At 41.8% G+C, this 15,486-nt stretch overlaps 1 protein-coding gene across 51 annotated transcripts in view; it reads left to right on the top strand.

Annotated features, from left to right (window-relative positions):
- APBB2 (amyloid beta precursor protein binding family B member 2) overlaps positions 1-15,486 on the top strand; it is a 404,516-nt gene that overhangs the window by 188,544 nt on the left and 200,486 nt on the right. For all 51 annotated transcript variants that reach the window (XM_047450191.1, XM_047450181.1, XM_047450169.1 and 48 more), the window contains one exon: positions 11,601-12,416. In XM_047450191.1, the coding sequence (XP_047306147.1) occupies positions 11,601-12,416 (816 nt within the window). The remainder of the gene's footprint in view (positions 1-11,600; positions 12,417-15,486) is intronic.

The following is a 15,486-nucleotide window of genomic DNA, read 5'->3' as shown; positions in this document are numbered from 1 at the left end:
CCATGGTATATATGTACCACATTTTCCTTTTTTTCTTTTTTTTTTTTTTTTTTTGTGGAGATGGAGTCTCACTCTTTCGCCCAGGCTGGAGTGAAGTGGCATGATCTTGGCTCAATGCCACCTCCACCCCCCAACCCCTACCCCCCACCATCCCAGCTTCAAGAGATTCTCCGGCCATCAGCCTTCCAACTAGCTGGGATTATAGGCATCTACCACCACACCCAGCTAGTTTTTGTATTTTTAGTGGAGACACGGTTTCACCATGTTGGCCAGGCTGGTCTCAAACTCCTGACCTGAGGTGATCCACCCACCTCAGCCTCCCAAAGTGCTAGGATTACAGGCATGAGCCACCATGACTGGCCCACATTTTCTTTATCCAGTCTGTCATTAATGGACATTTAGGTTGATTCCATGTCTTTGCTGTTGTGAATAGCGCTGCAGTGAACATTCATGTCCATGTGTGTTTATGATTTATATTCCTCTGAGTATATACCCAGTAACAGGATTACTGGGTCGAATGGTAGTTCTGCTTTTAACTTTTTGAGAAATCGCCACACTGCTTTCCACAACAGTTGAACTAATTCACACTCCCACCGACAGCATATAAGTGTTCCCTTTTCTCCGCAATCTCACCAGCATCTATTATTTTTTGACTTTTTAGTAATAGCCATTCTGATTTGATTTGCATATTCTTTAATGATCAGCGGTATTGAGCTTTTTTTCATATGCTTCTTGGCCAAATGTATGTCTTCTTTTCAGAAGTGTCTGTTCATGTCCTTTGCTCACTTTTTAATGGGTTTGTTTTTCTCCTGTAAATTTGTTTAATTAAGTTCCTTATAGGGTTGTGGGAGTGAAGGAGGACCGGAGAGATCATGGTGAAACTGGAGGATTTTTATTGAGTGCACTCAGACCCAGCGGATTAACATCCAAAAACTGGGCCTGGAACAAAGACAGCACTTGAATTTTAGACACATTTCTAAAAGGGGGTGGGCTAGCCTGAAACAAGTTTACAGTGGCGCGAATCGTAGTGGCGTGAAAGCAAGGATACAGAGGCAGAACAAAGGGAGTTAATTAAATTGTGACAGGTTCATAACTCAGGATTACAGGTGACTCTTCCTGTGCAGTCCAGATGGCTGTTATGGAGGCTTGCTCTAGTGCCTTGCACAGGCTTATCTCTTAACCTTCACTATGGCGCCCAGATGGCTGCAGCCCAGGCCTGCTCAGGCATGTCTTATAATCTTCACTGTGCTGCTTAGATAAAAACAGAATACTCAAGTTACCGGAAAACAGGAATCTGTAAACTCATAAGTTTTACTCATAGGGGAAAGGAAAATTTGTTTTCTTCTCCCTATGTTGAAGGAGGGCTGGGAGAGTCTCCAGGGCACATTCCTTTGAGCTCTGGCTTCTTAGATAATATTATTGAGACTTCACCTGGGTCCAGGCTTTGCCTGCTACTGCCTTTGGAATGAGTCACCCTAATATAGAAGGCTTGTTTTTCTCTTTTTAATTTTATTTTTCTTTCGTTCTTCAATTTCCTCCCTCAATAGGTGCTGGATATTAGACCTTTGTCAGATGCACAGTTTGAAGATAGTTTCTCCCATTCTGTAGGTTGTCTGTTTACTCTGTTGATAGTTTCTTTTGCTGTGCAGAAGCTCATAAGTTTAATTAGATCCCACTTGTCAATTTGTTTTGATCGCTTTTGGTGTCTTTGTCATGAAATCTTTATCCATTCCTTTGTCCAGGATGGTATTGCTTAGGCTGTCTTCCAGGCTTTTTATAGTTTGGGGTTGTACATTTAAGTGTTTAATTCATCTTGAGTTGATTTTTGTATACGGTATAAGGAAAGGGTCCAGCTTCAATCTTTTGCATATGGCTAGCCGGTTATTTCAGCACCATTTATTGAATAAAGAGTCTTTTCCCCATTGCTGTTTTTTGTCAGCTTTGTTGAAGATAAGATGGTCATAGATGTATGGCTTTATTTCTGGGCTCTCTATTCTGTCCCATTGGTCTGTGTGTTCTTGTTTTTGTACCAGTACCATGCTGTTTTGAGTACTGAAGCCCTGTAGTATAATTTGAAGTTGGGTAACATGAGGCTTCCAGCTTTGTTCTTTTTGCTTGGGCTTGCCTTGGCTAATTGGACTCTTTTTTTGGTTCCATATGAATTTTGAAATAATTTTCTTTAGTTCTGTGAAGAATGTCGATAGTTTGATAGGAATAGTATTGAATCTGTAAATTGCTTTGGGCAGTGTAGCCATTTTAATTATATTAATTCTTCCTACCCATGAGCATGGGATGTTTTTCCATTTGTTTGTGTCTTCTCTGATTTCTTTGAACAGTGTTTTGTAATTCTTATTGTAGAGATCTTTCACTTCCCTGGTTAGCTGTATTCCTAGGTGTTTTATTCTTTTTGTGGCAATTGTGAATGAGATTGTGTTTCTGATTTGGCTCCCTGCTTGGCTGTTGTTGGTGGATAGGAATGCTAGTGATTTTTGTACACTGATTTTGTATCCTGAAACTTTGCTTAAGTTGTTTATCAGCCGAAAGAGCTTTTGGGCTGAGGCTGTGGGATTTTCTAGATAATAGTATATAAATTATATCTCAATGAAGCTGTTATTTAAAAAAAATGAATGGAATAGTCACTTTCCTCAAGGCGTTTGCAATTTAGAAGAAGACATAGACATAGGATCTAATCATAGAAGTCTGCAACTTCTTATCTACTGAGGAAGTATGCAAGAACTGCTAACTCATGCCCCCCATATTTAACAATATGCCTGATGCTTTTCAGATCAAGAAATGAGCTTTGAGCTGATAGGATTGCAACTGATGAACAGTCATGTTTGACAGGGAAGTACCCCATTCTGCTCTAAGTTACAAAACATATGCTTTTGACTCTAAATATTCCTTGTTCTTTCGGGAGCCACGGTAGAGTTGAGTAAGAATTTATTTGAGCTGAGACTGAGGAGCAAGATAAATTGGTCTATACATTATATTAAAGGATTTTATTTTAACTCTTGCTCAGATGCTACATGGGGTAACAGCTGAGATAACTAACTGATCATTGATCACCCTTTCTCTGATATATCAAGGATATCCTTTCCTTTTTTTCAAGGAAAGGAAAGATGAATTTCCTGTTGACTTAACTATTAATAACAGTGGTTTCCTTTCAGTGTTTAATAAGAAACTCTCAGAAATTCTGTCTAGACATTTTATGTCAACATTTTTTGAGATGTTAATTGAAACACTTGCCTTTCCCGTTTTACTTGAGGATTTATTCTCCAAACATTTATGAGTGCCTACTCTGTGCTAGGCCTCTGTGCTGGTTGGTGGAGGTCACAGTCTAGTGGGAAACTCAAACAGGTTAATAGTAAAAGTAAAACAGCATGAGTGATGCTGTAATAGAAATGCATTTATGAAGGTGTGAGAATTGTGAGAAGTAGACTCCAGAGGGACAAGAGAAGGCTTCATAAAGCGGTGACATCTTTTCTGAATCTTCAAAGAGGAGTAGGAATTTGCTGGAGGGAAGGAAGGGTACTGAGAGTGTGTGGAGGGACAAGGAAGATGATGTATGCGATCAGAGCATTCCATGTGCCTCTGAAATAATTAACTCCATGTACATCATTTTATTCTTCCCAGATCTCACACTTCCTCTTCCAGTGGTTCTCCAAATTGGCCACAGATTAGAATCACCGCAAGAACATTTTAATGCCCTGACTGGGCCCAATCCCAGAGGAACTGAATCAGAATCTTAGAAGTATTTTTGTGGGTGGGGCCTAGGCATCTATACTGTTTTAAAAGCCCCCCAGGTGGTTTTTACATGTGGCCAGGGTTGAGAACAGTTCCTCATTCCCTTCACATCTGTTCCTCTGTGTCCGGAATTTATTCCTTCTGGTGGGTTCTTGGTCTTGCTGACTTCAAGAATGAAGCCACGGACCCTTGCCGTGAGTCTCACAGCTCTTAAAGATGGTGTGTCTGGAGTTTGTTCCTTTAGATGTTCAGATGTGTCCAGAGTTTCTTTCTTCCAGTGGGTTCATGGTCTCGCTGACTTCAGGAGTGAAGCCACAGACCTTTGCAGTGAGTGTTAAGGTGGTGCGTCCGGAGTTGTTTGTTCCTGCCAGTGGGTTCGTGGTTTTGCTGACTTGAGGAATGAAGCCACAGACCCTCACAGTGAGTGTTATAGCTCATAAAGGTGGTGTGGACCCAAAGAATGAGCAGCAGGAAGATTTATTGTGAAGAGTGAAAGAACAAAGCTTCCACAGTGTGGAAGGGGACCCAAGCGAGTTGCCATTGCTAGCTCAGGTGGCCAGCTTTTATTCCCTTATTTGGCCCCACCCACGTCCTGCTGATTGGTCCATTTTACAGAGCACTGAACGGACCATTTTACAGAGTGCTGATTGGTGAGTTTACAAACCTTTAGCTAGACATAGAGGGCTGATTGGTGCGTTTTTACAGAGTGCTGATTGGTGTGTTTACAATCCTTTAGCAAGACATAGAGTGCTGATTGGTGCATTTACAATCCTTTAGCTAGACACAGAGTGCTGATTGGTGCATTTTTACAGAGTGCTGATTGGTGCATTTACAATCCTCTAGCTAGACAGAAAAGTTCTCCAAGTCCCCACTCGACCCAGGAAGTCCAGCTGACTTCACCTCTCAATCCCCCTCTAAACAGGACACCCCACCTGCTGTTGGGAATTGGGTGATGACTGCTCTAGCCACTTCCTGCTGGATAGGGGCGAAGACCGGGCCGTGCAGTTGTAGTGTCCTCCAGAGGGGAACTCTTTAGGCCAGTGAAAGGGCCAGCGGGTCGGTTCAGGGGTCCTCGGTAGAAGTTGTTAGTTGAGCTCATTTGGGGTTCCATTTGTAAGACCATCTGTAGCTTGACGGCCTCAATCCCAGAGGAAACAAATTTGACAAGGAGATTAAAAATACAGGGCCCGAAGGCAAGTAATAGCAAGATGGCTGTCATGGGACTTAGAAAGGGGAGAAGCCATGTTGCTTAACTCCAGAGGTTGGTATAAGAGTTTGAAAGGCGTTGTCTGATTTCAGAAGCCTTTTCCTGTAAACGCTGGGCGGCATCTCTTACTATCCCTGACCTGTTAGTGTAAAAACAACACTCTTCCCCTAAGAAGGTGCAGCAGTCCTCCTTTCTCAGCAGTGAGGAGGTCTATGCCTCAGAGGCTTCGGAGTGTCACTGCTGCCAGAGTCTATTTGGGATTGTAGAGTAAGGATAGGTTTCATTATTTCTTGCAAACTGAGAAATCCTTTGAGAGTGTGTGGTAGTAGGATAATACATGTTACACTGTTAACTTTTAGCAAACTTTACTTTTGTTGAAAACGTTGTAAGTTTGGGATTACCTTATAACCTAATAAATTTGGGATTACCTTATAAGTTAATATGGACTGAACGCCCTGGGTTCTTTGCTATTAATAAGATCTCGTTCAGTCCATATTAACTTAGAATTGGTATAGATGGTTCCTTCCTGATTCTGTAAGTACTTTAAGGTTTGGCTGAGTGCAAACAGCTGGCACTGGTTTGAGCAGACCAATTATTAGGCAATTTTCCTAACTGCTTCTACAGGAGTTCCCTTATCACTTACTGAATACCCATTGTGTCTTTTTTCCTTAATCACCTGGGAGGAACCATCTATTGTCCTGTCCTGAAGGAGTTCCTCCTAGATCTAGTTGGACCTTTGTATGGTAATTAGTTAAGATTTAGATCCCCTGTTAGGAAACCTGCAGGGTTAAGGATTTTTGATAGGAAGGCTATGGGTTGTCAGTGGCTTCAGTGCTTTCGGGTTACACCCTTGTTTACACTGGCAACAAGGTGGTATTGGAGTGTTACAGGGTTACAGAGAAGACCTTCAATTATCAATTATAGGTTTTAAATTTACCCTGGCTTTTAAAGGAATAGGGTACACTGTTTTCTCTTTACTGCTTCTGTCTCTTTCTCTCTGACTCCTTTGTCTCTTCCTCTCTTTCCTTCTCTCTTTGACTTTCTGTCTCTCTGTCTCTTCCTCTCTCTGTCTCTGTCTTTCCCTCCTCTCTCTTCGACTCCTTGTCTGTCTCTTCCTCTCTCTGTCTCCTTCTCTTTGTCTCTCTGTCTCTTCCTCTCTCTCTGACTTTCTGTCTCCTTGTCTCTTTCCTTTCTGCTGCCTCTGCCAGCTGCTTATGCTGCTGTTCTCCCCTCTCCTTCCCCTTTTTGATGGCTTCGGCAGTGGAAGACTGCCACCTCCTTGGGTTTTTGCACTGCATGCAATACCTCTACCTTCCTGGGACCTCTGACCTCTGGCCTTTTCCTTTTCTCCCACTTCTTTACCGTTTCTACTGTGCAGTCCCCTGATTTCCTGCTTTCTCCAGGCCAGATCCCAGGGTGCACCCTCATCTGTTCATCTCAACACGCCCGACGACTTCATCACCTTCCCCTCTGTGACTATTTCTGAACGTTGTCTCCCTTTTTAAGTTTCCTTCTACACCATACCCCTAGACTGTTTCCTCTCTGGGAAAACTTTCTCTTCATAGAGAAAATTAAGGCTGCCAGTTTCGCTTTTGCTCGGTTTTGTGTCACTGTAGTGACACACGTGTCTGTCCTTGTCCTTACCGCCTCTCTTCCCTCCTAGCGTGAAGGTACCCTTATCTTGGGCAGTGCTGTTTCCAGTCCGGTCTTGTCCCTTCTCTTCTCTCATCACGTGGATTCTACCTTACTGTTCTGTTACTCTTTTGTGTTTCCACTTTTACTCTCTTTATTGGCTTCTGCTTTTACAGCCTTTAAACAATAAACCATAACTAAGAATCTCATCTTTAAAAAGTATAAAGTCCCTCCCGTAAACCTGGGTCATCCTCCAGCTACTGTCCTGTCTCCCCCAACTTGAATAAAGTTCACTCTCTGCCCACCTCTGCATTCTCCTGAAGCTGATATGATAGAAGTCACCAGTGTCTTTCTAATTACTCAATTCACCAGACTCTTCAATCCTCACTTCTGAATCCAAGTGGCTAATGGGAACCTTATCTTTCTGCCCTGTTCAAGGGATGATTGACCAGAGCTGGAACTGTAGTAGTGGGAGAGTAAGACTTTCACCCCCATACCTAAGTCTCTTGTGACTACCTTGTCCTCTCCCACTTTCTTGACTGGACTGTTGCAAAGAACCTCCCAACTGGTCCTGCTTCCCTTTGGTAAATGGCAGAGTCCACTCTAAGGCCAGAGAATGAGCCTAAAAATGGGGCCAGCTTACCTCTTTGTTGGTTCAGAAGACACTGTCTGTGTACCTCTTTCCACTGTTTCTCTGATCACCACTGATGTTTTAATTGCCTGGTCTACATTACTTCTTTAATGTCTTTTCATCATAGTCATCGCCTTCTCGGAGAATATACTAGAGGAAAAAGGCTCAACATATACACAGATACAACACACACACACTCAGAATATACACATCAACCTTCCATTCATTCCTCCTGCTGTTGCCTCAGGGTCAAGTCCAAAGTGTTAGAGCATGCTTCAGAAGAACCCCTGCCTTTGCTCTTCTCCATCATACCGCCTCTCCTTTCATGTCTTGATTTGTTCAGGCTCCCTTGATGATAATCCTCCCTTCCCTGAAGATCCTCTCCAACCCTAGGTGAGTAGCCCACTTATTCCTCTGCATCTGCCCACCCGTCACCCTCTGTGATTTCTGTGACTTTATTGTGTGTTTTTCTTCTGCAAGCCTGAAAGCACATAGCAGGTAGGAACTTTATGTTCCTTGGTTTTCCAATTCCTAGCACAGTACCCAGCAAGAAGAAAGTGCTCAGTCAGTGGTGGCTTGAGGTATGGTGGTCAGAAATAAAAGTGTGCAAGGAAGGAGGGAGCTATAAGATTATGATAATCCCTAACATGTATTGAGCTCTTACAGTATGCCAGCCATTATGTCAAAGGTTTGACAGTCATGTTTTAGTCCCCAGCAAAACTCAATGAGGTGTAGATACTATTATAATTTCATTTTACAGCAAAGAAATGGGAGTTTAAGTAACTTGTTGGTTGTGTTAAAGAGTTTGGTCTTATTTCTTAGGCCTTTTGATTCCAAAGAAAACAGTTAAATATTAGAAGGTTTAAAGAAACATTGTAAGATTTTCTTTTATTTAAAGACAAACACAAACCTCTATCCTCTTAAACCCGAGGAATGTATATTTTTTTCATAATTAAATCCTCATAGACCCAACTTCTTTGTTCCTTCTTAGTCTCTTTCCTCTCTGTGTGTCTCTGCAACAAGACCATTTCAATCACTCAGACCAATTAGAGTGGGGGGTAATCTGGGGGCCCTGGTAGGCAGCCCCGCGCTATATTACTTGCGTACAAAGTAGTGAGTGGAGCTCACATTTATTGTTATAAACTCGTACAAAGTGGTGAGTGGAGCTCACATTTATTGTTATAAACTCCCTGTAGGCAAGTTTACTTGTCATGTAAACCAAGTACTATTATTATCCCCATTTTTAACCAGGAAGTAGGTTGGATAGGTCTTGAGCCTTTCTCTCCTTGACCCTGAGATCTGTGCTTTTAACCCTTACAGCATTTCCTCTCCCTTGGGGCTGCTTTCTTGTAGCCTTGATCTTTCTAGGATTTTGCTAACCTGTAGCTACTTCATGACCCTTTTGAGCCCAAGGACTTCCTAGCTGATATGTAACTCCTAGAGGAACTCTATAGTTCATGGGATTAGCTTGGCTGCCGTAGCTCTAGAATTGAACTTTTTCTTTTGCCTCCACATGATACCATTATTTAATGTCTAAGATATTACTCAAACTGTGTTCAGGCTTTGATATATAAAAACAACATATACAGGCTGGGCCTGGTGGTTCACGCCTGTAATCCCAGTACTTTGGGAGGCTGAGGTAGGAGGATTACTTGAACCCAGGAATTTGAGACCAACCTGGGCAACAAAGTGAGACCCCTGCCTCTACAAAAAGTCAAAAAATTAGCCAGGTGTGGTGTATACGCCTGTGGTCTCAGCTACTTAGGAGGCTGAGGTAGGAAGATCGCTTGAGCCTAGGAGGTTGAGGCTGCAGTGAGGCATGCTCCTGCCACTTGTACTCCAGCCTGGGTGACAGAGCAAGACCCTGTCTCAAAAGTAATGATAAATAAATAACCAACCCTGTCTCAAAAGTAATAAGTACGTAAATAAACTAATAAATATGGCATATACAGAGCTGCATTTTTTCATCCAGTTTGTATTGGATGGTCCTTTTCTATTCAGCCTCTTACCCCTCCTGCCTGCCCTCCATTATTTCTAGCAAGCAGAAGAGTTACATGGCCCCTGATAGGGTAATGGGATCCCAAAGACTGTGAAAATATGGCTAGAAGTCTTTTTTTTTCTTTTTTGTTTTTTGAGACAGAGTTTTGCTCTTGTTGCCCAGGCTGGAGTGCAATGGGGCGATCTCGTCTCACTGCAACCTCTACCTCCCGAGTTCAAGCGATTCTCCTGCCTCAGCCTCCTGAGTACCGGCATGCGCCACCATGCCTGGCTAATTTTGTATTTTTAGTAGAGACAGGGTTTCTCCATGTTGGTCAGGCTGGTCTCAAACTCCCGACCTCAGGTGATCTGCCCGCCTCAGCCTCCCAAAGTGCTGGGATTACAGGCGTGAGCCACCGCACCCGGCTGTGGCTAGAAGTCTTAATCTGTCATATTGAGGATATAAAAGTTATTTATATATTAAAAATCACCTAGAAATTCTGATGGTATTCTTTCTGAAAATATGTATGATTATAAACAAAGCAAATAAAAATATCTCCCTAATAACATTGCTAGAATGTATAATAGTACCTAGCATCATAAAGCAGCCTAATATAAATGTTTTGCCATGCCTTTTAGGAACAGCAGATTTGCACTTTCTCATAATCTCACTCTAAATACCCAAGAGTCTAAAAATAACTTTCTCTCATGTATCTATGCTCTGGATATGTGTCTCAGGGAAAACTTCATGTAGGTTTCAGGTAGGCCCTTCTCATATGAAATGCCACTCTTGAGTGAAATTAAATTATAAATTGAAACATGTTTCCCATAAAATGGTATAATAGTTGTAGCCAAATGGTAATAAAAATTGTTTTTTTTTAATTTAATTGTCAAGAGTATTGTTTAAAAGGCAGAAACCTTCCATTGGACTGGGTGGAGGAAAAGGAAATTTTGAAAAAGGAAAAACCACACTACATTCTCTGTTTCTGTAAAATGAGGCCTAAGAGCTAAGGTGAGGTGCTAGGTGAGAAGGAATCCCGATAAATAATAACTTTAAAGAATGGGGCCCAAGATCCTAACCCTTGGGGTTACAGCCCTTGACTCTCTTATGGGCCACATGGTCATACTGTTATAAAAATGGCCATGGCCTAGAGTGGAGGATTGATGTTGCCTTGCTTCCTGGAAGCATAGGGACTCTAGAATGAGCAACTTTTTTCTAAAATTGCCCAACCTAAGTATTTGGTGATGGAGAGATACCTCTAAGCTCCCAAACAAGGAAATTATTGCCCTTCTCTCCTGCAAAGATCCCTGTTTTGCCTGGGGGAGGAAGAGGGAATTGTCAGAATATAATTTCAGGAATTTCAGGAGCTGTGCTTTGGTTCATCTGCTGCTGAGGTAGAGATCACCAAAGTCTCTGTGGAGGGCAAAAGGATCAGATAAGAAAGAAGTCACTCCTCATAGATTGAGAAATCTGAAACCTTAGGAATTCTTGCTGATGAATTTTATTCCCTTCTAGTCTAAGAAACCTTTCTTTCTTCCCAGCGAGAGACATATAGAATAAATCACTAACGGCGCAAACAATATTTGAGATAAATGCGGTTGCCAGATAGTTTCCTAGGAGTTCTGCAGAGGCATGTGATGACTGCAAACAGCTGAGTCTGTATTTTAATTCAGTGGAATATATTCAGACTCCTCTGGGAGCTCTAACATGTTGTCTGTAGCCAAGGGCTCAATGCTACAGTAATAGTTTTGTGTGCGTGTGTACGTGTTCTTCAGAAATTAAGCCATTTCTTCAAAATTTCAGTTTAGTACAAACAGTAAGCCCAGGTCAAAAATGTTCACCAAGACATTAGCAAACTCTAATGGAGGGTTAGTTTTCCAGGCATTCAGAACACAGTTTCTAAACGTGGTTGAGAAAAATTACCTTGGATGTATGGAGCATCATTGAACAATGACCTTTCAGGTTAATTAAGAAAGCTGAAGCCCCAGAGGAATCTTGAGCAATTTTTTGTTGTTGCCTGAAGGAACCAAAGAATAAAAATGTAGTGGGAATATTTGGAAAGGGGATGATTTTTCAAGCTTGTAAAAAATGAAGACCAGCCACCAGAAGAAAATGCTTTTATGTGAATTCAAAGAGAAATGCTTTTTTATTTTAAGTAAAATTTAGGTCCTCAGACTTCTTAGCTTTTCTATAAATTGGCTTTTGGTTATCCACGTTAAGCCCTTTATTTGCTCCTGTTTAATATAGGAACAAATGGTGAAATAAAGAGGAAAATGGGTCCATTCTATGAGAATGTATGTGCAGTGGAAGCATTTCTTCTTTTAGTTTTCTATATAAAAATATTTACTCACACTGTATACTAAGTAGTTTAATCATGGCAGGTGTCTAATGACTTTTTTTTTCCCCAGCTGACTCAGGTGTTGACACCTTGGCAGTGTTTATGGCCAGCAGCGGAACTACAGACGTCACAAATCGGAACAGCCCAGCCACACCACCAAACACCCTTAACCTCCGATCCTCCCACAATGAACTGTTGAACGCTGAAATAAAACACACAGAAACCAAGAACAGCACACCTCCCAAATGCAGGAAAAAATATGCACTAACTAACATCCAGGCGGCCATGGGCCTCTCGGATCCAGCTGCACAGCCCCTGCTGGGAAATGGCTCTGCCAACATCAAGCTGGTGAAAAATGGGGAGAACCAGCTCCGTAAGGCTGCAGAGCAAGGGCAGCAGGACCCCAACAAAAACCTGAGCCCCACTGCAGTCATCAACATAACTTCTGAGAAGTTAGAGGGTAAAGAGCCCCACCCACAGGATTCCTCGAGCTGTGAGATTTTACCCTCCCAGCCCAGGAGAACTAAGAGCTTCCTAAATTACTATGCAGATCTGGAAACCTCAGCCAGAGAACTAGAGCAGAACCGAGGCAATCACCATGGGACTGCGGAAGAGAAATCCCAGCCAGTCCAGGGCCAGGCCTCCACCATCATTGGGAATGGCGATTTGCTGCTGCAGAAACCAAACAGACCCCAGTCCAGCCCTGAAGACGGCCAAGTAGCCACAGTGTCATCCAGCCCAGAAACCAAGAAGGATCATCCGAAAACAGGGGCCAAAACCGACTGTGCACTGCACCGGATCCAGAACCTGGCACCGAGCGATGAGGAGTCCAGCTGGACAACGTTGTCCCAAGACAGTGCCTCACCCAGCTCCCCGGATGAAACAGGTACCCCTGGGGAAGGCGTAGCCTCAGCTGGCACTTTTTTTTTTTTATCTTTTCAACTATTGGAGTAAATCTCTAGACTGACCAAAAATGTCCATTATGCAGAGAGGAACGTGAGCCTCTTGCGGTAAAATTGGGCAATTTATTTGCAAAATATTACTGCATTCCTCAACCATATTTTAGGTCAGTTTCATTTTGGATCGTGCATAAAGTTGTTTGTTCTGGGAAGCATTTTTGTAAAATAAACAGATCCTTGGTGTTAAGTACAGTAAAATATCATATATTTAGAAATTACACTTCCAGTGCATAGGTAGATCATTTCTATATGCTATCTAGAAATACTGGGTTTTGGTAAGCAAAATAATAAAAGAAACAAAGTTGTTGGGGGAAGGATATAACCCAATTAAGAGAACTATTTTAAAGTCCTCAAAATAACTTATTTATGGTGAAGCGCATAAAAAGTTAAAACATTAGCCATCTGTTCATTAAAGGCATTTCTCTTTTTGACATTTACTGAGGAGTGTTTTATTAGCCTTAAGTAATATTTAAAAGTGGGAAAATCGTATTTCTTGAAAAATATATTCAGAAGTTTAGACTTTTAACTAGTCTAATTGAGACCAGTCTTTCTGGACTTTTGTCTATATTTGTAATATTTTGGATTTGTCGGAGGTGTTAAAATGGTGACAGAAATGAACAGGATCCTAAAAGTCAGCTACTTTAAATATCATTTTCTTATAGCTCCCACTATACTGATTCTAAGATTGAAAAATGTGGAGAACCTTATTGTATCTGAATTCAGCGTAAACAAGCACTCAGAAAGGCTAATTTTTTAAAAGTAGTCCAGCAGTTCCCCTAGTGGGTCCCAGGGCTGTGTTAATATAGATATAACAAAGAAAATAGATAGAACCACCAGGGAAGGAAATCACATTTTTACAATCGATAAGGTAGATAAATTACAAGGACTAAAGATAAGGAAAAGAGGAGTTAAGACATTAACTTGTTTAAGAAGAAAAAAAAAGTAGCGTTTTTGAAGTGCCCTTTAAAAATCCCAGTACTTTCAATGATGCATACTACTGTGGAATGTGGCAGTAGGGAGGTTGAGATGAGGCCATTTCATCTCATAACTGTCTGGCCCTGCACATTATTGGAATCATAATTATGTTCAGTAATGTCCCTGAGTTCACAGCTCTCTATCCTTTTTACCCATTTAGAGAATTCATATCCTGAAGCTGATAGACATTGTCACCTGCTGGAGTTTGAATCTATTAATACATGAAAGACTCCTTGCACATCTTTCAGCCAAGCTCTACTTCCTGTGTTTGGCGTTTACTGACACCTTGCTGTCTCCCTCTGGTCATGGCACCCTTTCTGCTGCTCTTCCTGGTATAGCCGGTTCTGTTGTAGTTAAGTTTTAAACTAACCTAAAGTTTTGTTCAGGCACAGTGGCTCATGCCTGTAATCCCAGCACTTTGGGAGGCTGAGGCAAGAGGATCACCTGAGCCCACAAGTTCAAGACCAGTAAGACCCCATCTCTCCTCCTCCAAAAAAATTAGTTGGGCATGGTGGACGGTGGCATGTGCCTGTAGTTCCAGCTACTCAGGAGGCTGAGGCAGGAGGATCACTTGACACCAGGAGTTCGAGGCTGCAGTTAACCATGATTATGCCATTGCCCTGTAGCCTGGGTGATCGAGCGAGACTCTGTTTCAAAAAACATAAATGTATTTTTAAATGAATAATTAAGCTGCCTCTTCCCTTCACCCCAGCCCCCTTTCCCAGTGATGACCATTACCTTATGTTTTTATTTCCTCTCAGAAAATGTTTGAGTCATAGATCCGCATATTAATAATAAATTTTAAGACCGGCATGATGGCTCACGCCTGTAATCCCAGCACTTTGGAAGGCCAAGGTGGAGAGATGGCCTGAGCTCAGGAATTTGAGACCAGCCTGGGCAACATGGTGAAACCCCTTCTCTACTAAAACATTAAAAATTAGCCAGGCATGGTGGCGGGTGGCTGTAGTCCCAGCTACCTGGGAGGCTGAGGCACAAGAATTGCTTGAACCTATGAGGCGGAAGTTGCAGTGAGCCAAGATCCCGCCACTGCACTCTAGCCTGGGTGACAGGCGAGACTCCATCTCAAAAAATAAAAATTAGGCCAGGCGCAGTGGATCACCAGGTCAGGAGTTCAAGGCCAGCCTGACCAATATCGTGAAACCCTGTCTCTACTAAAAGTACAAAAATTAGCTTGGTGTGGTGGTGCGTGCCTGTAGTCCCAGCTACTCGGGAGGCTGAGGCAGAAGAATTGCTTGAACCTGGGAGACAGAGGTTGCAGTGAACCGAGATTGTGCCACTGCACTCCAGCCTGGGCAACAGAGCGAGACTCCATCTCAAAAGAAATTTAAAAATAAAATTAAATTAAATTAAAATTAAAAAAAAAAACAATAATAATCAATTTTAAAATTTACCCAAATGTTGTGATGATGTTTTTAGAATCCCTATGTTTTAGAGATATATACTAATATAAAATACTAATCTATGTCATAGTATAACATATATAATACAGTATAACACATACTGATGGAAACAATATTGTGTATGGTATTTTCTCCAAAATAATTGGGATTAGAAGGATAAAAAAAGAAACAAAATTGCCCATAAGCTGCTGATTGTTAAAGCTGCATTATGGGTACGTGCGGGTTCATTATTCTATTCTCTAATTTTGTATGTTTAAAATTTGCCACAATAAATAGTTAAAACCAGGAAAAAGTTACTCCAATTAGATTGTTTTATGAATGCTTTGCTTTTTTTCACGTAAGAACGTATTTTGTAGATCAGTCCATTTTTCTACGTCAGTCTTTTTAAGTATTATGTATACTATTCCACTATATACAAGTTCCACGATTTATTTAGCAAGTTCCCTGCTGATGAGTATTTAGGTATTTCTGTCCATAGCCCCTTGGCTTATTGAGTGCTGGTGTCAGTAGGGGCCTGTGGAGAGGGCAAAGTTTGTGCACTCCAGTCTACCTACTGGGACTCTTGAAATGTACACGTTAACTCCCTCTTTCCAGGAAGACT

Source organism: Homo sapiens, chromosome 4 (genome assembly GCF_000001405.40).
Source record: "Homo sapiens chromosome 4, GRCh38.p14 Primary Assembly".
NCBI lineage: Eukaryota > Metazoa > Chordata > Mammalia > Primates > Hominidae > Homo > Homo sapiens.
Note: the sequence above shows the minus strand (reverse complement) of the source record. Positions and strands in the feature narration are given on the sequence as shown.